Source organism: Homo sapiens, chromosome 3 (genome assembly GCF_000001405.40).
Source record: "Homo sapiens chromosome 3, GRCh38.p14 Primary Assembly".
Classification (NCBI taxonomy): Eukaryota; Metazoa; Chordata; class Mammalia; order Primates; family Hominidae; genus Homo; species Homo sapiens.
The window spans coordinates 45,592,380-45,613,495 of NC_000003.12; the positions used below are offsets into that span (position 1 = coordinate 45,592,380).

Below are 21,116 nucleotides of genomic sequence, written 5' to 3' on the forward strand. Positions count from 1 at the left end.
CAATCTTTTTGGCACCAGTTTCACAGAAGCCAATTTTTTCACAGACGGGATGAAACTGTTCCACCTCAGATCATCGGGCATTAGATTCTCATAAGGAGCGTGCAACCTACATTCCTCATGAGGGTAGTTCATAATAAGGTTTGTGCACCCCTCTGAGAATCTAATGCCACTGCTGATCTGACAGGATGTGAAGCTCAGGCGGTAATGCCAGTAATGGGGAGTGGCTGTAAATACAGATGAAGTTTCGCTGGCTTGCCTCCTCTCACCTCCTGCTGTGCCACTCAGTTCCTAACAGGCCACAGACCAGTACTGGTCAGTAGCCCAGGGGTTGGGGACCCCTGGTTTACAGAATATAAAGCACATTCATATATATTATCTTATTTGTTCTCTGTCACAACTCTGGCAGATAGGGGTTCACTAATTCACTTATTCGACCATTAGGTACTACTATTAATATATACCAGGCACTTGGCATACAGATATGGTCAAATGGAGTGGGAAACCTACCACCCAACCAAACAAAAAAAAACGCATGTTAACCAACAAATAAATAATTATAAATAGTTATCAGAACTGAGCAGGAAGTAAAGAGGGTGCTGAAAAAGAACAACAGGAACCACTCTGAGGAGGCCTCTAAGAGGAGGTGACTTCAGCAGGGATGGGAAAGATGAGCCACTCAGTTTAGGGGCAAGCTCTGGGCAGACACCAGGAAGCTCCTGCAGCTAGAGTGCAGGGAGGGAGGGAAGATCCCTAGATCTGGCCCAGAAGGCTGCGGCAAGGGGCCGATTTCAATTTAATTCTGGGGTAAGCACTGAGGATTTAGGTAGAGAAGTGTCTGTTCTAGTATTTGCCTTAGGATCACGATGGCTGTAGTGTGGGAAATGAAACCTCTCCAGGATCGCCTGGGAACTGGTATAGGGAGTCCCGGGCCATGCGGGGGCGCCAAGGAGTCAGGCCTGGTGTCCCTGCAGCCGCGCGGATCCACTTGCAGATGGGTCCCTCTACGAATAACGAGCCTACTAGGGCACGTGCTTTTACTGCTGCACTGAGGACGTGAAATGCGCGCAGGCACAACGAGACTTTCTTCTTTTTCGCTCTTTCAGAGGGCCCGGGCTCCCATCTACGCTTTGCTGGTTACGTTGGCATGTTGGGCATTTCCCCCTCTCTGCCTCAGTCTCCCGACCTGTCAAAGAGGACGGTGGGCCAGCCATGGGTGACACGCCCGTGCGCCTCTCCAATAGTGCACCTCGGGCAAGCCGGGCGGCGGGCACAGCCTGGACGGTGCCGGCCTCGAGAGGCACAAAGGGCTGGCTTTCCACCGGGGAAACTGAGGCAGTGGAGCGAGGAGCGGCGTCCTCGAAAGTCCTCGCAAACTCCCAGCGCCTGTGTTGGGCCCATGCAGGCTACCCAGGCCGCCCGTCTCCGAGCGGAGGACCCCGCCCAGCGCTGCCAGGGGCGGGGCCGGGCTGAGGACCCGAGGCTGGAAGGGAGGTCGGAGCACCCAATTCGGTCCAGGACTCGCAGGGGGCGGCAGTGGCGGCGGCGAAGTCCCGTGCAGTCCCAGTGCTAGAGCGTGGGACGGACTTGTGGGGCACCCCTCGGTGTTCTCCAGCCAGGCCTGGGGGCAGGAGGCCCAGCCACGCTGCCGGGTGCAGGCCTGCCCCTGGGCGCCCGCCCGCGCGCCGTCCCCGCCCCTCGGCCGCCCCCTCCGCCCCGGCGCGGGCTCGGGACGTGCAGAGCCGGCGAGCGAGCAGCAGGGACTGCGCCTGGCGCACTCACTTCCGCGTCCCGCCGCCCTCCGGCCCGCGCGCGCCGATCCGCCGCCGCCATCGGACAATGGGCCGCCAGCCCCAGCTGCCGTGAACTTCCTGCCGCTGCTCGGCCGCCCGTGCGTCCCGGACGGCGTTCCTGCCAGGCGCCGGCCGGGATCGCAGCTCCGGGGAAGCAGCGGAGGACCCAGCGCCTGGAACGTACCTGCGCCTCAGCCGCCGCGCGTTTGCTCCGGCCCGACTCGCGGCCTCGGCGCCCTCCCGGCCGATTCAGCTTCACCCGGCCCAGTCGGCTGCTGCCTTGCTGTGAGTTTCCGTGTTTGGTTGCCTAAGGAGGATGTGATTTTACTTTTTTGCTGTTTTCTTTTTCCTTTTATAATTTGAAGAGGAGAAAAGAACTCCGCTGAGCAGGCCCGGGACGGCGAAGTGCCACCAGCTACCCCAACAAGGACGTCTCCAGGGGAAAGGGAGTTGGAAGCAAACTTGGTCCAGCTGGCGTTGAGGTCTCAACTTCGGCTGGACTCTTAAATCCTGGGGTCATGCCCTTCACGCTAGGCAGGTGGAAGTCTTTACTTGTACTGGGCCGGACTTGAGCCCCGACCCTTCGCCAGCATCTCCCCGCTGCCCTCAACACACACACACACACACACACACACACACACACACACACACACACACACACACACACACACACACGGCACCTGGGCTAGGCCCGGACACCTGTCTGCAGCATGGATAAGTATGACGACCTGGGCCTGGAGGCCAGTAAATTCATCGAGGACCTGAACATGTATGAGGCCTCTAAGGATGGGCTCTTCCGAGTGGACAAGGGTGCAGGCAACAACCCCGAGTTTGAGGAAACTCGCAGGGTGTTCGCCACCAAGATGGCCAAAATCCACCTCCAGCAGCAGCAGCAGCAGCTCCTGCAGGAGGAGACTCTGCCCAGGGGGAGTAGAGGCCCTGTCAATGGAGGGGGCCGCCTGGGCCCACAGGCCCGTTGGGAAGTTGTGGGCAGCAAGCTGACTGTGGATGGTGCTGCCAAGCCTCCTCTTGCTGCCTCGACAGGGGCACCTGGGGCAGTCACCACCCTCGCTGCTGGGCAGCCCCCGTACCCACCGCAGGAGCAGAGATCCAGGCCATACCTGCATGGCACGAGGCATGGCAGCCAGGACTGTGGTTCCAGGGAGAGCCTGGCGACTTCTGAGATGTCTGCTTTCCACCAGCCAGGCCCCTGTGAGGATCCTTCCTGCCTCACTCATGGAGACTATTATGACAACCTCTCCTTGGCAAGCCCAAAGTGGGGTGACAAACCAGGAGTGTCCCCCAGCATCGGCCTGAGTGTAGGGAGTGGGTGGCCTAGCTCCCCGGGGAGTGACCCACCACTGCCCAAACCCTGCGGGGACCATCCCCTAAATCACCGACAGCTCTCCCTGAGCTCCAGCAGGTCTTCTGAGGGTAGCCTCGGTGGTCAGAATAGTGGCATTGGTGGCCGCAGCAGCGAGAAGCCAACAGGCCTTTGGTCCACTGCCTCCTCCCAGCGGGTGAGCCCTGGCCTGCCTTCCCCAAACTTGGAGAACGGAGCACCAGCTGTGGGGCCTGTTCAGCCCAGGACCCCTTCTGTGTCAGCACCCTTGGCCCTGAGCTGCCCCAGGCAAGGAGGTCTTCCAAGATCAAACTCGGGGCTGGGGGGTGAGGTTTCAGGTGTGATGTCCAAACCCAATGTGGACCCCCAACCCTGGTTCCAGGATGGGCCCAAATCTTACCTTTCCAGTTCTGCCCCGTCATCCTCGCCAGCTGGTCTGGACGGTTCACAGCAGGGTGCGGTCCCTGGGCTGGGGCCGAAGCCTGGCTGCACAGACCTTGGCACTGGTCCCAAGCTCAGCCCCACCAGTCTTGTCCATCCAGTGATGTCCACCCTGCCTGAGTTATCTTGTAAAGAGGGTCCCCTGGGCTGGTCTTCTGATGGTAGCCTGGGATCTGTGCTCCTGGACAGCCCCAGCTCCCCTAGGGTAAGGCTGCCCTGCCAGCCCCTCGTCCCAGGTCCTGAGCTGAGACCCTCTGCTGCTGAGTTGAAATTAGAAGCCCTCACCCAACGTCTGGAGCGAGAGATGGATGCTCACCCGAAGGCTGATTACTTTGGTGAGTGAGAGGCTGGTGGAGTTGCCTATGGTGGGGCGATGGGGTTCTTGAGATTGGGGAACATGCCCCCTACCAGGGATGCTGTGGGCTGTAGTTACCTCTCTTTGAGTGGCCTGTTTTTTTATTTTTTTGTTTTGGGCTTCCTCTTTCAGCTGCTTTTTCTGATTCAGAAACTTGAAAGCATCCTGGGGCAGAAAGCGGACCTTGCAGCTGGGGTTACCCATGTGTGAAGGGTGCAGCAGGGTGGGATTGCTCATGACTGCTCTCAGAAAAGAGAAATGCTGTGACTTTGGATTTCAAGGGTTTTGGGTGTGACTTTAGAGCCTCTTGCAGTGACAGGCTCATATAGGACTTCAGTGGGACCAGCTTTCTCAGGGGCAGCTACCCCTGAGCGTTCAGTCTGTAGTTGGTTGGGCAGATCTGGTTGATCTGGCTGTTTGAGGGACCAGTGATTGAGGCAGGGGCTCTTGACTGCCGTGTGTGTGTGTCTGTGTGTGTGTCTGTGTGTAGATGGGTACTTATGTGCAGTTGAGGCAGGTCAAACACTACCATGAAAGACTTGTAGAGCAGTGGATCTTTTTTTTTTTTTTTTGAGATGGAGTCTCGTTCTGTAGCCCAGGCTAGAGTGCAGTGGCACAATCTCGGCTCACTGCAACCTCCGCCTCCCGGGTTCAAGCAATTCTCCTGCCTCAGCCTCTTGAGTAGCTGGGACTACAGGCACGTGCCACCACACCTGGCTAATTTTTTTTTTTTAAGTAGAGACAGGGTTTCACTGCGCTAGCCAGGATGTTCTCAATCTCCTGACCTCGTGATCCGCCCGCCTTGGCCTCCCAAAGTGCTGGGATTACAGGCGTGAGCCACCGCGCCTGGCCAGAGCAGTGGTTCTTAAGTGTAGTCCCTGGATCAGCAGCATCCCTTTGCCTGGAAACTGATTAGAAATGGAAATTCTTGGGCCCCACCCAAGACCTACTGAATCAGAAACTGTGGGATGGGACCCAGCCAGCCGTGATCCTGCTGTGTGGTGAGATTTGAGCCCTGCCGCACCATGTGCCTCCTAACCCAGCCTACACCCAGGTAACAGCCAACAGCCAGGTTGCACCACAGCCGTGGCACAAACTATGATGGAAAATGTGTCTTCCTGGTTTTACTCAAACTTGCATGTTTTGTTTTATTCTCTTTTTTAAAACCACAAACTCTTGGAGACTGCTAGCTTCAACTTTTTTTCTTTGCACGAGGTTTAGTGGTAGTTGTATCTTTCTGTTGAGTAATGATTAGTTGTCTCATAAGAGAGCTAACTAGAAAGACAGCCTATTCGCAGAGAATCGGAGGGGTTTTTCTTTTTCAGTTTTTAACTTTGGATAATTGACCCCCGTGTTCCCCATAGCCTGAGTCCTGCTGGGGTAGCAGCTCTGCCTAGTGGAGGGCAGGGACAGGGAAGGCCCTGGGAGAGGAAGACAGCTGGCTTACTGCTGTCAGTCTACGCTTATTCTCCGTGAACGAGCAAGTGTCCCAAGGTCCTTTGAGGGACCAGGGTCTGAGGCACTGGGCTGCTGGATGTGTGCAGCTTATGGTAGCATTGTGTTTTGCTTCTCATGAGAACCTTGTGGGAGCCAGTTCTCACCCCATACTCAGCAGGCTGAGGTCAGGGTAGCTGTTTATGGCTTACTTTTTTTAAATTTATTTTTATTTATTTATTTGTTTATTTATTTATTTATTTTGAGACAAGGTCTTGCCTTGTTGCCCAGGCTGGAGTGCAGTGCACCCTAGACCTCCCGGACTCAAGGCATCTTCCTACCTCAGCCTCCTGAGTAGCTAGGACTACTTAAGAGGAAGCAGGGGAGGAAGGGGACGTGGAGGTGGGGGGTCCTCTCTAGGTTGCCCAGGCTGTTCTTCTGGGCTCAAGTGATCTTCCTGCCTCAGCCTCCCAAAGTGCTGGGATTACAGGTGTGAGCCACTGTGCCCGGCCTACTGGTTTATTTTTTAAAGCACATGGCACCATCTTACTGTGAACTATCTTTTCTCCTCAGCACATTCCCACATTTGGGAGTAATAGTTAGCTGGAAATACTGTGGGTCTTTTAATTTAAACTTTTGTTTAGTTGTAAATTTCAAGCTCATTGGACAACACAAACAGCAGTTTTATCTTGAGATGCAAGTTTATGCTGTGCATCAGAGCAACGGTATTAGCTGACGCTACTCATCCATTCAGCATATATTAAAATTTATTGAGCACCTATCTTGAGGCCATGCTCTATTCCAGGTCTTGGGGATACATAGTGAACAGGACAGACAGGAACCTCTGCCTCCCTGGAGCAGACAATGTAGTAGAAGGAGGCAGGGAGTGAATGAAGTAAATAAGCAAGTACTAGGGAGAGAATCAAGGTAGAGAAAGGGAATGGAGCCCTGGGGCTGGGGGTGGCAGAGAGATTTCCAGTTTTAAATTGGGTGATCAGGGAATGTCCCACCTAGAAGATGCATTTGAGCAAAGGCAGGCAGGAGACTGGACCATGTGTTTTCCCAGGGAAATGGTGTTCTTGGCAGAGCAGACAGCAAGCACAGAGTCCCTGTAGGCCTGGTCTGTGCTGGGCACTGTACTGAACACTTGATGCTGACTATTGAATTGACTGGTCACAGCATCCTTGGAAGCTGGTTCTGCCATTATGCCCATTTTACTGATGAGAAAACGGAAGCTCAGGGAGATTAAATTACTTACTGGCGGTGTCACAGGTCATATTGGGTACTGCTGGGACTTGAACCTGACAGTTCAGTTCAGCCTCAGGGCCCATGTGTCTAACCAGCATTGCCAAACAGTCTCCCAAGCAGAGATTTGGAAGCCTATTTTATTTATTTATTTTTATGGTTTTTTTTTAATTGAGATGAAATTCACATAATGTAAAATTAACCATTTTGAAGTGAACAATTCAGTGGTGTTTAATATTAATACATTCACAACGTTGTACAATGAACACCTCCGTCCAGTTCCAAAATGTTTTCGTCAACCCAAAAGGAAACCCCATACCCATAAAGCAATTGCTCCCTGTTTCCCCCATCCCCTCCCAGCTCCTGGCAACAACCAATGTGCATTCTGTCCCTATGGCATTTACCTATTCTGGAATTTCATTTAGAAACGGAATCGTGTATTTTATTCATTTTTTGTATAAACTTCACAGATAAGCAAGCACGCACAGTGAAAATCGAGCCTCTTTCCCTGGTCTGTCTAGTCAAGTGTTCTGGGTGTAATAAGCATGTGTGTGTTTCTGCCAGCCCCAGTGGTGGCATGCTGTTCCACTGCACAGCGTCTTGGCAGTGGCTCTACATCAGCATGTGTTCAGCTGGCTATACGTGGCTGCTGTGCAATGTGCCTAGGTCACCTAAGGTCACCTAAGCAGCCCTCACTGATGGGCCTTTGGAATGTACCCACCTACAAGGGGCAGGCGTAGCTGCAAGATGAGCTCCCAGGAGTGGGACTGTGGGGCTGCGTGGTTTGTGTCCTTTAGGTGTGGCTTGGTTGCTTCCTGCAGAGCTCATGCCAGGGCTGAGCTGCCAGCTATGTAGGAGAGGGTTTGCTCCACACCTGCTTTGGTGGCAGAGCTTCCATCTGCTCTTCTGCGACCTACCTTGGGGCAGAGGAGGAAGTCTTTCGGTCTGAAGATTGGCAGTCATTGCCTGGCCCTGTGTGGGGACCATGAAGAGACCACATGCTCCTCCAGACCACTCCTCCCTTGTCGGTAGCCTGAGGAGGCTGGACAGCTGAGGGGCTCCCTCCCACAGATACTTTTTCCTCCCCTACATCTGGTATTACTTGAAAGATTTTGTCTACCCAACACGCTACATTTGTTAAATAATGGTTAGATTCTACTTCCAAACAGAAGAATGTTTAATGGTGCAGGGCGCTTGGCAGTGAGAGTCAGAGTGACACAACTCCCCATGAGAGGTGATGTCACTCAGGCCAAAAGCAAAGCAAAGTAGATGTTTGGGTTAGCTTGGGCCCCTTCCTAGGTTGAACTGAAGGTGTCCCTTTGGGCATTTGACTTTGTGGGAAGAGCTTGTGAATCCCTGTTGCCACCTTTGTAAGCCCTTAGAGTCTCAAGATGCCCAGTTTCCAGTTACTGATTAACTTGGCACGGGAACTCTCCTGGCACTTTCCATGGCTGGTCTTTGTGGGTTTAGTAAAATAGGATCCTACAGAGGCGTGTCTCTTTCCCTACTCTGCTGGGCCTACTTCCTCCTCCAGCCATCCTCCCCACCCCCTGTCCCCGTTGCCTCTTTGTGTCTCTCTGTCCATGTTGTTGGGTTTTTGGTCTTCTAGGCGTTGCTCCTGGCCTACACCACCTAGTGCAGTGTGGCTTCTGTTTTAGCACCACTGCTGACACTGCAGAGGTGGGGTGCAGAGGGCACCGTGCCTTTGTTAGTTGTGCCCCACCGTCTCCTCCATGTGATCCACCTATCTTCCTCACACTGGTCCTCTTCTCCCTTTCTAAGGAAAAAGGACACAAGCCGGGTGTGGTGGCTCACACCTGTGATCCCAGCGACTCAAGAGACTGAGGCAGGAGAATTGCTTGAGCCCAGGAGTTTAAGACCAGCCTGGGCAACATAGTGAGACCCCATCTCTACAAAAAACACAAAAATTAGCCAGGCATGGTGGTGCACACCTGTAGTCCCAGCTACTTGGGAGGCTGAGGTGGGAAGATTGCTTGAGCCCAGGAGGCTGAGGCTGCAGTGAGATATGATCATGCCACTGCACTCCAGCCTGGGTGACAGAGGGAGACCCTGTCTCAAAACAAAAACAAAAACAAAAAACCCCACAAATAAACCACTTGTCATAGGCTGGGTTTCCTGGGAAGCTGACTGAGACAGAGTTGACCATACAAGGGCTTATTAAAAGGTGCTTTTGGGGTCCCCACCTGTGGAAGATGGAGAAGGAATCAGGAGTGGGTAGAGGAGAGCTGAGCTGCTGGGACCTGACCCCGCAGGGAGCCTGGGAGCTGGAAAAGTCCTTTAGGGTCATCCTAGTTGGCCTGACATGGCCTGGCCTTCACACTCCCTCATGGATCAGCTGTTGGCTGTGGGCTGCCCAGGAAGATGGTGACTTTGGGCGAGGCAGCTCTGTGCAGCTGGGATAGTCTCTTCAGGGGCTGACAGGAGGGCAACCTGCCTGCCGCACCCCAGCAGCTGTGCCCTCCCCTGTCCTCGCCTTCATCGAAGGGCCTTTGCAGCATCCCCACAGTGCCCCCTTCCTGGGGGCAGGTAGGAGCGGGTGACTTGGGCATTATGGTTCTAGTAGTAGCTACCGTGTGTCAAGTGCCAGTGGTGTGCCGGGCACTGGAGTTCAGTGCTTTGTGGGCCTTGTTGGCATTTAACCTGCACACTTAGTTTTGATGTAGGCACCATTCTCTGTTTACAGTTGAGAAACCGAGGCCAGAGAGGTTAAGTGACTTGCTCAAGACCATATGGGTACAAGTAGTGGTGCTCCCATACCAGTCGGGATTTTGCTTCTGCTCTGACCACTTGCATGGTGGGACTAGGTGGTCTCTCACGTCTGAGTGGATGCCTTCTATTGCCCCTCCAGATTCATTCTCCACCCACGTACTGTAGGGAGCTTTTGTGGGCTCCTTGCGTTTTCCATGCCTTCTTCCCCCATATTTCAGGCTGTGGACTTTTTTTTTTTTTTTTTGAGACAGAGTCTCGCTCTGTCGCCCAGGATGGAGTGCAGTGGCGCGATCTTGGCTCACTGCAAGCTCCGCCTCCCAGGTTCAAGCCATTCTCCTGCCTCAGCCTCCCGGGTAGCTGGGACTGCAGGCGCCCGCCACCACGCCCAGCTAATTTTTTATATATATGTTTTTAGTAGAGATGGGGTTTCACTGTGTTAGCCAGGATGGTCTCGATCTCCTGACCTTGTGATCCACCCTCCTTGGCCTCCCAAAGTGCTGGGATTATAGGCGTGAGCCACTGCGCCCGGCCTGGGCTGTGGACTTTTGTGTCCCCTGGACCTGAAGCCCCTGTGCTCACCCTCCCTGCTGTGGGTGGGCCTGGGGATCTGTCACGGCTAAAGCTAACCAGGAGAGAGCCACATTCTGCTCGCTGTTAGGACCAGAGGGGTGGGAAAGGCAAGAATAAGCAGGTTCCAGGGTCTCCTGTACCCAGGAAGTGGATGGACAGGCCTGCTCCTCACCAGCATGGAGAAAGGAAGGGTTGGCATTGTGTTTGGTTTTTCTGTCTTTGGTGGATGTCCTTTCAGCAGTATCCTAACCCAGAAAACTGCAGTGACAGACCCCCCTTAGCCTGGGATCCTGAAAGCAGGTGTGACTCCTCCTGAGAATGGCCCTGCCCTGACCGGGGCCAGGGAGCCTGTCTTACTTGATTTTACTTTCCTGGCAATGCACAGGGTTAAACGAGCAGTCCAAGCAAGGAACATGTGGATGTCCTATCTATGTACCTACATGTCCTATTTGCATGACTACAGATGCCCTATCTGCATGTCTACATGACTACAGATGCCCTTCCATCTGACAGTCTGTTGCACACTGAGCTGCTCCTCGTTTTCATGACTTTTTTTTTTTTTTTTTAAATTGAGACGGAGGCTCACTCCGTCACCCAGGCTGGAGTGCAGTGGTGCGATCTTGGCTCACTGCGGCCACCGCCTCCCCGGGTTCAAGCGATTCTCCTGCCTCAGCCTCCTGGATAGCTGGGATTACAGGCGCGCACCACCATGCCCGGCTAATTTTTGTATTTTCAGTAGAGACAGGGTTTCGCCATGTTGGCCAGGCTGGTCTTGAGCTCCTGACCTCAGGTGATCTGCCCGCCTTGGCCTCCCAAAGTGCTGGGATTACAGGCGTGAGCCACTGCACCTGGCCCTTCATGACTTTTTAATTACTGTTTATCAGACTTTATTAGCAATAGATGCTTGAAATATGGTGCTTAATTCCAGCCTAGATTAAAAAATCGAGCATTTTTCACATAAAAGGAAACAACATGGGCTAGTCTTGTAATAAAGCAGCCCCTCCAGAATTCCAGAACAGAGGTCTGTCTGTGTTCCCCAGAGGCACTGGCTAACCAGCCTCCTCCCATATCAGGCATTTCATTAAACCCAAACCAACTGCTGAAGTGGAAGAAAGTGACAGAAGCTCAACAGCTGTGTGCCTCTGTCTGAGTGACTGGCATGACTAGATATGATGACGTGGGGACTGCCACCAGAATGCCTTTTGGAGATGTGCCATAATTTGAACCAGCCGAATCCAGGTTTCCATTGACATGGAAGTAAATTTCTGACTCTGCTGGTAACATTTGTCAGTGACATTCAAGACTCCAATCTCTCTGGCCCTGCAGATGCACACCCAGGGATATGGGGATGCCCAATCCTTTAGACATCGGGCAGTCTCTGTGCATTCTTTTAAAAAATTGAGGCAGAGTCTCACCATATTGCTTAGGCTGGTTTTGAACTCCCAGCTTCAAGTGATCTCCCACCTCAGCCTCCCAAAGTGCTGGGATTACAGTCGTGAGCCACTGTGCCCAGCCCATGCATTTTTTTAATGGACCAGGCAATCTTCCTAAGTCAGGAAGACATGTATTCTTAACCTTTTATTGATGTACGATGTACACATATCATAGATGTTCACAAAGTGAACCCATCTGTGTAGCCAACACCCAGATCAAGGCAGAACATGACCATCACCCAGGACGCTCCTTGTGCCCCTGTACAGTCACCACCAAGTGTCCAAGGATCAGCTGTCTGATTTCTGATAGCAAAAATGGGCTTTTAAACAAACATGGGATTTGATGTAACTTTTAAAAACTTGGAAAATGTAAAAACACATTATGGCATGTTTGGGGATGGATGAATGGAGATCGTGTGGCTGACCTGGGTGAAGCTTGGGCTGGAGACAGCAAGGAGTTGGTGCCGTCTGCCCAGGGCCACCTCCACTGTATGTCCTCCTGGGCTGGAAGCTCGCCCTGTAACAGCGGTGACTCCTGTGTGGTCAGTGGTCAAGGACTGGATACCGTCTCGGTCCTCTGTGTTCTCTGAAGGGATGTGACTACATCATGTGCCTCAGCCCCGTCCCTGCATGCCATCTCTCTCCACAGCACTTCTCTTCAGAGTTTTCCAGGGGCAGAGGTGAGGAAGCTCTCAAACTTCATTTAGATAGGTTCATCTTTTTGCTCAATCAGCAGGTCAATGATGCATACGTGTCAGGTCACACTGTGTTCTCAGCACTGGGTTGAGTGCTGTGGGGAAGGACAGCCAGTGCGATGGATTCACACTCCTCTCACTGTGACCTTGGAGACCCTCGCTCTGGCCCACCCCTCCTGTGCCTCACCTTGCTCCTTCTTCCCCGTCATCCCAGCCTTGTTTTCTCTGAGCCTGTTGAGGTCCTTGCCTTGGTGGCTCCCAACGGATGTTCTTCTGGCCAGTGCTGTGCTGCCAATGCCACCAATCCCTTCCAAGCAGGCTGATCTGCTGGGAGCTGTAGCCCTGGCGCGTCCCGACATGGATTCCCACAGCGTCTGCCTGTCCCGTCATGCTTTCTCTCTGGAGTCCTCCCTCCTTGGTATGGTATGTTTCTGCTCTGTTCTTTTGTGACCAGGAAAGAATGTCTTGTTTCTTCCATCCAGCCCTCCTGCTCTTTCCATTAACAGTCCAGAACATGAAACGGTTATTTTGACATGATCATTCTTGCCAGGGGTCTTAAAAAGTTATGTTTCTTTACATCTGTTGATTTGTGACTGTCACATAGGAGACAGAACTGTGCAAGAAAGACACATATTTGGGAGTCAGGAAACCAGGTCTTCTGGGCCTGATACCACCAGCAGCTCAGGGTGTGATGTTGGGCAAGTCCCTCTAGCTCTATTGAGCCAAGATGACCTCTCAGGGTCCTTCCCGGCCCAAAGTCCTGTGACAGTGGCATTAGGTATAACTAGATGCCTGGGTTTCAGCTAACCATGTAACAGGGACTGGGCAGCATTATTGTTGGCAGTGGCAGAGAGCCTGGAAAGGCAGAGGCCAAGCGGCCTGGCATCCCAGCCCCTTTCCAGACCTTTACGGAATTAAAAAACAATTTTTATTTTTAGTTATGGTTACATTTGCAATTGTAAGTGGTAATCATTTTTACTTTAGATATTCTGGAAAATACATACAATTAAAGAAGAAACATGAATCACTCATGTACCTTCCATTCTTAGAATAATCAGTGTTAAGACTGTCTGCAGAAAGTATCCAGTACAAAGTAGTGGCTGAGCCCACTGGTGATACAGAATGTATCAGGCACTGTGATTCTTGGATCTCTGGCCAAATGTAGAATCATTTACTGAGCTAAAGGCCAATTTGCTTGGAAGAGTGCATCTAATTAAAGTGAGATTAGAAAGGACGAAAGGTGTCCTTTAGGAAATAACCACACATGGCAAGCCACTGGTATGATGATGATCACCAACCCTGCAGGCCTTTTGAGGCGCTCATTCCAATTAAACTTGTCATCCTTAGTGCAGGGGGCAGCTGGGAGCTCTGGTTTGTGGCGTTCACTGTCCTTGTTTGTACCGGCATGACCCAGTCCTCTCCGTGGGCTCCTGTGGCGCCCTGGGTGTTGTTGGGTCTCAGGCCTGATCATTTGTCATAGGACAGTGGGCTCAGGCCCAGCAGTGTCTGGGCCAGTCTCCCTTCTTTGTCCCAGTGCCCCACATGCTGTGGGCTCCGTGGATGCCTGTTGAAGGAGCGGAGGGACTTCCATTAGGCCGTGAAGGTGGAATAAGGGATTTTTAGCTGGGGTTATGGCTCTGAGACAGTTTTACTAAAATTGGTCTAGCAGTTTCTCTGCCAGACACTTTTCTAAGCACTTCTTATGCTTTACTCACCTGTATTACGTTGTTCAATCCTCCCAACAACCCTACTTTATTAACCCCATTTCACAGATGGAGAAACTGAGCTACACAGAAGTTAAGTGGCCCGCCTAGTACTTTTATGAAGTATCTTTGCTGAGTCTGGCTGCTGAGTTGGAGATTTTGACCACTGTGTTGTGATGCCTCTTAGCTCTTGGAAGTTTCTCCTTTCTAACAAAGAAGAAACTTCAGGGGCTACTGTGGCTAGGGTAGGTCAAGGCTGAGGTCTTTTTGTACTCTGGTGGAGCCAGGGCCATTCCAGGAGCAGCAAAGAAGGCAGAGTGTGGAGGCATGCCTGAGCTGACTGGAGGAGTTGGGTCCCACTCTTGCAACGAGAGGCTGTCTCCAGCTTTCTCTTCTGTCCAGGAGCCTGTGCCTGCACAAGTGCCTCCCTGCAGGGCAGTGGACAGAGCCCCAGAGGCTCGGAGGCACATGGGCTGCCTTGTGTTCCTCTGAAGAGGTGTGGGTTAGGGCAAGTGGACCATGTCCTCAGGGGTGCTCGTGTGACATCCCCAAGTGCTGCAGGCATAGGTAGGGGTGTGCCAGCCCATACTTCCCTTGGGCGTGAGCAAGATGCCTTGTCTGGGGGTCAGGAGCAACCCCAGGCTGTGTGCAGAGGTGCTTGAACCAAATTTTGTTTTGTTTTGTCTTTTGTTTTTGAGGCAGAGTCTCGCTCTGTTGCCCAGGCTGGAGTGCAGTGGCAATATCTCAGCTCACTGCAACCTTGCTTCCGAGTTTCAAGCAATTCTCGTGCCTCAGCTTCCCAAGTACCTGGGATTACAGGCACACTCCACCTTGGCCGGCTAATTTCTGTATTTTTAGTGGAGACGGGGTTTCACCATGCTGGCCAGGCAGGTCTCGAACTCCTGACCTCAAGTGATCCACCCGCCTTGGCCTCTCAAAGTGCTGGGATTACAGGTGTGAGCCACCATGCCTGGCCTATAACCAAATTTTGGATGACACTGTCCTTAGAGTCCATCCAGCAAACTGAACAGAAACCTTGTCCTAAAACAAAACAGGTCACCGAAATTTCCAAGGCGTGGCAACGCAGGGTAGCACTTGCCAGCGAATATTTATATCCACTCCAGTTTTTGTTTTCCATTTTTCCCCTTACAGGGAAACCAGCTGGACACAGGGTCTCGGGGTCACACGGGAAGGCAGGAGACTTTCTGCTTGAGTGTTTCAAAGGGAGTTCTTGGGATCCACAGCCAGGTTATTTTTAAGTTTTGAGAGCCATGAGTTTAAACTTGGCCAAGTTCCTTCCTCATCTTTCTTGTTGTGTGACTGTCGCTGTGTCCCCGGGGAGTGAGGATGGGTTACTCCCGGTTACTGAAAGCTGGTGGGGAGCATCTCAGGGGTCTCTACCTCCCTCCCCACAAACATGTTTTGTAGCACACAAAAAGTTCTGGAAGCCTGCCATGATGCTGTCATTCCAGGGAGGGAGTTTGCATTTAGCATGGGTCCTCCCTGCAGCTAGTTCTGGAAGGATAGTGACTGAGGTACTTAGAGGACCTAGTGGGTAAGGCACCCCTCTTAGCAGGCAGGCTCCAAGTCAGGGGGTGAGCACATATTCCAGCAGGCCCGAGCTGGCCAGCATGTGACGGCCATTTCAGGTGGTAAAGCAGGAGCAGATTTGCTTTTTGTGCCCGAAACCCCTTCTGACAATAACAGCAGCTTCCCTGTTCCCCTGCACCTCCCTGTCAGCCGAGTTGATGGATTTCCTTTCAGCAGGGTGGAACCAAGTTATGGCCACGTTTGCTCGCGTGATGGTTAGGGCTGGCCCTGAGGTTTTGCATCTGCCAAAATGTCGCCTGTTCCCTCCCCTCCTGCTACCTCAGTTTGCATTCCTTCCTGATGATGCAGTGAGGTAGTAAATTTAGAAAGAAATGGAATTGGGGGCAGCTCAGCTGCTGGCCATGGCTAGGTTCCAGGGCATTTGCTGACAGTTATCTTTACATTAAATGTGGGCAGCAAGGATTGCATTGCAGGCCTGATTGTGCTGCTTTCTGGCTGTAAGCTTGACTTTTCTGCTTCACTTTTCTGTCCTCAGTTTCTTCATATTATGGAGACTGGAGGTCCTGTGCTGCTTATAATCCTGTGTCCTTTCCCTTGCTTTGAGCCTCAGAGCCAGTTTTAGATTCAGGGTTGTTGGCTGGGAGAAGACTCTTGGCTCTGAGGGTGACAGTGGTTTAGGGAGAACTTGCTTCGGACACCTTGTGTGTATGGGCGGGGGCATCGCAGGCATGTACATTGGTTGAACTTGGAAGCTTTCCCTCATTTGCTTGCAGAGAAGCCCACTGACGGAGTGAAGAAGCCTGAGTTGGGGAGGGTGTGAAAAACGTGTACAATGACAAAGTTTGTTTAGAAGCAAGAGAGGCCCTGTCTCTAAGAAGTAAGGAGAATGACGCTGGGCACGTGGCTCACACCTATAATCCCAACACTTTTGGAGGCCGAGGCGGGCGGATCACTTGAGGTCAAGAGTTTGAGACCAGCCTGGCTAACACAGTAAAACCCTGTCTGTACTAAAAATACAAAAATTAGCTGGGTGTGGTGGCGCATGCCTGTAGTCCCAGCTACTCGGGAGGCTGAGGCAGGAGAATTGCTTGAACCTGGGAGGCGGAGGTTGCAGTGAGCCAAGATTGTGTCATTGCACTCCAGCCTGGGCAACAGAGCGAGACTCGGTATCAAAAAAAAAAAAAAAAAAAGAAGGAGAATGAAGAAATAAAACCAAACACTGAATTAGTGATAAGGTTCAAAATAGAAACCGAAAGACCTGGTCTGTAGAAGTTACTCATGAGATATTTGTTGAATGAATGAATCATGGTATGTATTTATAATATTACCCAATCAGAATAAAAAAGGGAAATATTTTGGTGACAGTGCTACTGTTTGCTCAGCAGTAGTGGCTAAGAAACAGTGGATGCTACATAGGTATTTTCTCCATAACTTGTGCCTGGTAGTAGCTGTGCCAATTTTCACCAGACCTTGATTACCTGTTAGAGTTTTGAAGGGAGAGCTTATCTGGTGAGGACTTGGGTGACGTTGCTTGTGGGAGGAGGGCCAAGCACGGAATGGAAGTTGAATGTTAGAAGTGCTAGACCTCCAGATTCAGTAAACTTGGAGAATCCCTGTCCCTTGTGGTAAACTTGAGACTTGACTACATTTTGCGGTTAAGGGAATTTCAGTCGGTCAGCATATAACCTGGGGGAGCTTCATGATGTTCTCTTCTTTTTTCTTTTTAATTCATAGGTGTGATCATAGTACACTACAGCCTCAAGCTCTTGGGCTCAAGCAGTCCTCTTGCCTCAGCCTCCCAGGTAGCTGGGATACAGGCATGTGCCACCGCGCCTGGCTCTGAATGGTTCCTTGGTTTCCTTGGTGGGTGGAGCTCCAGATTCCTGAAGCTGGAGTTGTGGGCATGAACCCCAAGTGGGTCACTGGCTTTCCTGCGGGGTTCCACAGCCCTCACTTACCCCTGCCCCAGACCTATCTTTGCATTACCACATCCAGAAAAAGTAGTTCCAAGCCAGGATAACTCATTCATTCAGCAGCTATTATTGAGTACCTACTATGTGCAAGAGACTGAATTAGGACTACTAGGGCTTCCTTTTGTCACAAACAGGTATTGCTTAGTTCCTCCTGCTGTATCTGAGCTCCTTGGTAGTGGGGTTTTTGTCTGTTTTGTTCACTGTTGTATCCCCAGGGCCCAAGGCACTGCCTGGCACACAGCAGGTACCCAGTGGAAACTTACTGAATGAGGCTGGGTGCGGTGGCCCATGCCTGTAATCCCAGCACTTTGGGAGGCCGAGGTGGGCAGATCACAAGGTCAGGAGATCGAGACCAGCCTGACCAACATGGTGAAACCCCATCTCTACTAAAACTACAAAAATTAGCTAGGCATGATGGCGCGCGCCTGTAATCCCAGCTACTCGGGAGGCTGAGGCAGAAGAATCACTTGAACCCGGGAGGCGAGTGAGCCGAGATTGTGCCACTGCATTCCAGCCTGGGCAACAGAGCAAGGCTCTGTCTCAAGAAAAAAAAGACTTCTCGAATGAATATGTGTACACTCTGGCCAGATGTGGGGAGCAGATACTCCCTGACTTCCTCCTGAGTGTCAGTGCCTTTAGCTGGGACACACATTCTGGCATCAATCCATACCCTACACTGACGTGGTAGGGAGGCAGGGGCACTGGGCTGCTGTCCACATCCCTCACCCTGACCAGAGTTACTCAGATGAGCGCTCTCATGTGGGTAGGAGATGCCTTTGGTAGCTGAGGACTAGAGGGGCCAGAAAGGGTTGGGATACATGCTTTATCTGGATAGAAACTTATAGAGTTCCAGGGACTAGCTCACCAAAGGCCTGCGCAGGTTTGGCAGGGAGCAGGGAGACATGCTGGCAGGCATGCATGGTGGCTTTGATTTGAGGAGCTGTTGGTGGGAATGAAAAGCCTAATAAGCACGTGGGCTTTGGATCTGCCACCCCCCAGCTCTGCCAACAGCTGTGAGACCTTGGGCGGGTTGTTCAGCAGCCCTGTACCTCAGTTTCCCCATCAGTAAAATGTGCATATGGTTGTGAGGACTGAATTAGCTAGTATCTGATCTAAGTTGTCCAGTACGGGAGACTGGCCACGTGCAACTGTGAAGTACTTCAAAAGGTGGCTTTTCTGAACTGAGATGTGCTTTTGAAGCACATCTGGATTTTGAAGACTTGGTATGGAGAAAAGAGTGGCTTATTAATATTTTTCATATTGATTCTATGTTGAAATGAGACTTTTGGATATATTGGCCTAAGTAAAACATTAAAATTAGTTTCACCTATTTTTACTTCCTAAGTATGGATACTTGAAAATGTAAAATCGCACGTGGCTTGCATATTTTTCTGCTGGGCAGGGCTGTGCCTTACAAAGCACTTAGAACAGGCTGTAACACATGGTCGTTTGCTGTATACATTCTCTTGCTTTGTCATTTTCTCAAAAGCATGGAAGCGTCTTTACCTTGTCCCATCTGAAAGCCAAGCCCAATCGATTTGTTCAGAACCACAAATGCTTAAACAAAAAGATCATCATTTGTTCAAGGGAGGCTGATTTCATGATTGCCAACCACCAAGTGAGCCCACTGAGGCCAAATGCCTGATGCAAGGGATGGCAGGCTGCTCCCACGCAGCCTTAGAACGAATCCGTTCCCACTTGAAGCAGGGGGGCTCTGGGGTCCGAAGCTGCTGTGTGCACAGGGCTTGATGGAGCAGGTGGTCATTGCAGCTGAGCCAACTTTCCAGCGCCTTAAAAAATACACTCAGTTTAGCAAGTACAGGCAGAAAGCCCAAAGAGATGGCCCATCCCCTTGAGGGAGGTAGAGAAGTGAACGATGGTGTTTCCTGTCCCAAGAGGTGGGAGGAAGGCTGTTTGGGATTTGGCTCATCAGGGGCCACAGGCTACTGGGATGCCTATGTCCTATCCCTCTGTGTAGGCTATGGAGCCCTTTCCTGGGTATGGGCCTCCCAATAAGCCTGTGGCCAATGCAGGGGCAGGCTGGGAGGTGGCTTTCCAGGCAGCTTGCAAAGGCCTGTTTGTCTGAGGCTTGTCCTGACATCACTGAGGCTTTGCTTGCAGGTGGCAGGGACTTACACAGAGGCTCTTTGTTGGCCAGCCACAGAGGTCAGTTAGAAGCCATGAATGGACTGGAGCTGGCAGCCCCTCCTCTACCCATAGCACACAGCTGCCACCTCTCTGGGTTGCCCATGCCTGACGGTGGGTGTGTGAGGTGTGGGGAGAGGCATCTCTGCCCAAATTTGTAGCCAGAGAGCAGAGGAAGTGAAGTTGGTGGGAGGCGGTGAGGAAGGCAGGGAGAAAGAAAGGAGGTGGTGTTGAGGAAGCTAGCATGGCTTCTGCCCAGCTCTGTCATGGTTTGCAGGTGCGCGCTCTCTCTCTCTCTCTCTCTCTCTCTCTCTTTAAAGACAAATTCTCACTCTGTACCCAGGTTAGAGTTCAGTGGCACCATCTTAGCTCACTGTAGCCTTGGCTTCCTGGGCTCAAGCAATCCTCCCATCCCAGCCCCCCGAATAACTGGAAACACAGGTATGCACAACCATGCCTGGCTAATTTGTTAATTTTTGTAGAGGCAGGGTCTCGCTGTCTTGCCCAGGCTGGTCTTGAACTCCTGGGCTCAAGTGATCCTCCCACCTCGGCCTCCCAAAGTGCTAGGATAACAGGTGTGAGCCACTGTGCCAGGCCTTTTGCAGGCTATTTGATGTCTGCATTGGATACTTGGGGTCAGGCTCAATGCCTGGAAGTCATTTAGTGTCATTCTGCTGTGCTCTATTACTTTAAGCATTCACAAGCCTTTCCACACTCTCACTTCTTGATAGGAGGAGTGTCTAGGAATTGTTTTCAAAATGCTGTATTTGCATACAGAGAAATGTGTAGTTCAGTGAGTTTTGACAGATGCATGCACCTGTGTGACCCACATTCCTATCAAGATATAGAATAGTTCCATCCCCAGAAAGTTCCCTCATGCTTCTTTCCAGTTAGTGCTCACCTCCAGGCAACTACAATTCTGATTTTTTAAAATCATTTATTAGTTTTGCCCATTCTAAGATGTAATATAAATGGATTCATATAGTATTTATATACAGTTGATCTTCATTATCCACAGATTCTGTATTTGTGAATCAGCTTACTTGCTAAAATTTATTTGTAACCCCAAAATTAATACTCACAGTTCTTTTGTGATCATTCACAGATATAACAGAGTGCTGAAAAGTTTGAGTCCCCTGACGCCTATCTTCCCAGCTGAAGTCGAACAAGGCAACGCTCCGCCTTCTTGTTTCAGGTCATGCAGTAAACAGGTGTCCTTTTCATGGTCTATTTAGTGCCATGGTTTTTGCATTTTTGTGGTTTTTGTTGATGATTTTGCTGTTTCAAATGGCCCCCAGGCACAGTGCTGGAGTGCTTTCTAGTGTTCCTAAGAGCAAGAGGGCTGTGATGTGCTTTACAACGAGAATATGTATGAGAGAAGCTTTCTTCAGGCACGAGCTACAGGGCTGTTGGCTGAGGGTTCGATGTTAATGAATCAACAATATATACTAAGGAAGGTGTCTCTAAATAGAAGCACACATAAAACAAGGTCATATATTCATCAGTTGATGAAAGTGTTGTGGTCAGAAGTTTTCAGAAACCTAACCCTGTATTTCTGCCAGAAGCAGTGGTTCAGTATTGACTGATTCAGTATTCTTGCCAAATAATGAGAATCAACTATAGTACTCCTTTGTCCAGCTTATTTCACTCAGATAATATCTGTGAAATTCAGCTATGCTGTTGCATTATCAACTGGGCTTTTTGCATTA

The 21,116-nt window shown here is 51.2% G+C and overlaps 1 protein-coding gene across 2 annotated transcripts in view, besides 7 other annotated features; it reads left to right on the top strand.

Annotated features, from left to right (window-relative positions):
* Window positions 1,379-1,848: a silencer, noted in NCBI's record as "silent region_14283". NCBI's record gives its function as "represses an Ori minimal core promoter by ATAC-STARR-seq in GM12878 lymphoblastoid cells {active_cell/tissue: GM12878}" and the evidence as "EXISTENCE:reporter gene assay evidence [ECO:0000049][PMID:35858748]".
* Window positions 1,859-1,988: a silencer, noted in NCBI's record as "silent region_14284". NCBI's record gives its function as "represses an Ori minimal core promoter by ATAC-STARR-seq in GM12878 lymphoblastoid cells {active_cell/tissue: GM12878}" and the evidence as "EXISTENCE:reporter gene assay evidence [ECO:0000049][PMID:35858748]".
* Window positions 2,079-2,248: an enhancer, noted in NCBI's record as "active region_19779". NCBI's record gives its function as "activates an Ori minimal core promoter by ATAC-STARR-seq in GM12878 lymphoblastoid cells {active_cell/tissue: GM12878}" and the evidence as "EXISTENCE:reporter gene assay evidence [ECO:0000049][PMID:35858748]".
* Window positions 2,372-21,116, top strand: part of LIMD1 (LIM domain containing 1) — a 91,591-nt gene continuing 72,846 nt past the window's right edge. Inside the window, exons 1-2 of one of the 2 annotated variants that reach the window (XM_011534207.4) lie at window positions 2,372-3,908; window positions 20,513-20,600. In XM_011534207.4, the coding sequence (XP_011532509.1) occupies window positions 2,501-3,908; window positions 20,513-20,529 (1,425 nt within the window). In that variant the 5' untranslated portion in view covers window positions 2,372-2,500 and the 3' untranslated portion in view covers window positions 20,530-20,600. Of the gene's footprint in view, window positions 3,909-20,512; window positions 20,601-21,116 lie in introns of those variants that run through there. The other variant, NM_014240.3, reaches the window with a different exon arrangement.
* Window positions 4,744-5,243: an enhancer, noted in NCBI's record as "H3K4me1 hESC enhancer chr3:45638615-45639114 (GRCh37/hg19 assembly coordinates)". NCBI's record gives its function as "activates a minimal SCP1, AML or CMV promoter by ChIP-STARR-seq in primed H9 embryonic stem cells {active_cell/tissue: H9 hESC(primed)}" and the evidence as "EXISTENCE:reporter gene assay evidence [ECO:0000049][PMID:30033119]".
* Window positions 15,474-15,974: an enhancer, noted in NCBI's record as "H3K4me1 hESC enhancer chr3:45649345-45649845 (GRCh37/hg19 assembly coordinates)". NCBI's record gives its function as "activates a minimal SCP1, AML or CMV promoter by ChIP-STARR-seq in primed H9 embryonic stem cells {active_cell/tissue: H9 hESC(primed)}" and the evidence as "EXISTENCE:reporter gene assay evidence [ECO:0000049][PMID:30033119]".
* Window positions 19,343-19,412: an enhancer, noted in NCBI's record as "active region_19780". NCBI's record gives its function as "activates an Ori minimal core promoter by ATAC-STARR-seq in GM12878 lymphoblastoid cells {active_cell/tissue: GM12878}" and the evidence as "EXISTENCE:reporter gene assay evidence [ECO:0000049][PMID:35858748]".
* Window positions 20,470-20,519: an enhancer, noted in NCBI's record as "active region_19781". NCBI's record gives its function as "activates an Ori minimal core promoter by ATAC-STARR-seq in GM12878 lymphoblastoid cells {active_cell/tissue: GM12878}" and the evidence as "EXISTENCE:reporter gene assay evidence [ECO:0000049][PMID:35858748]".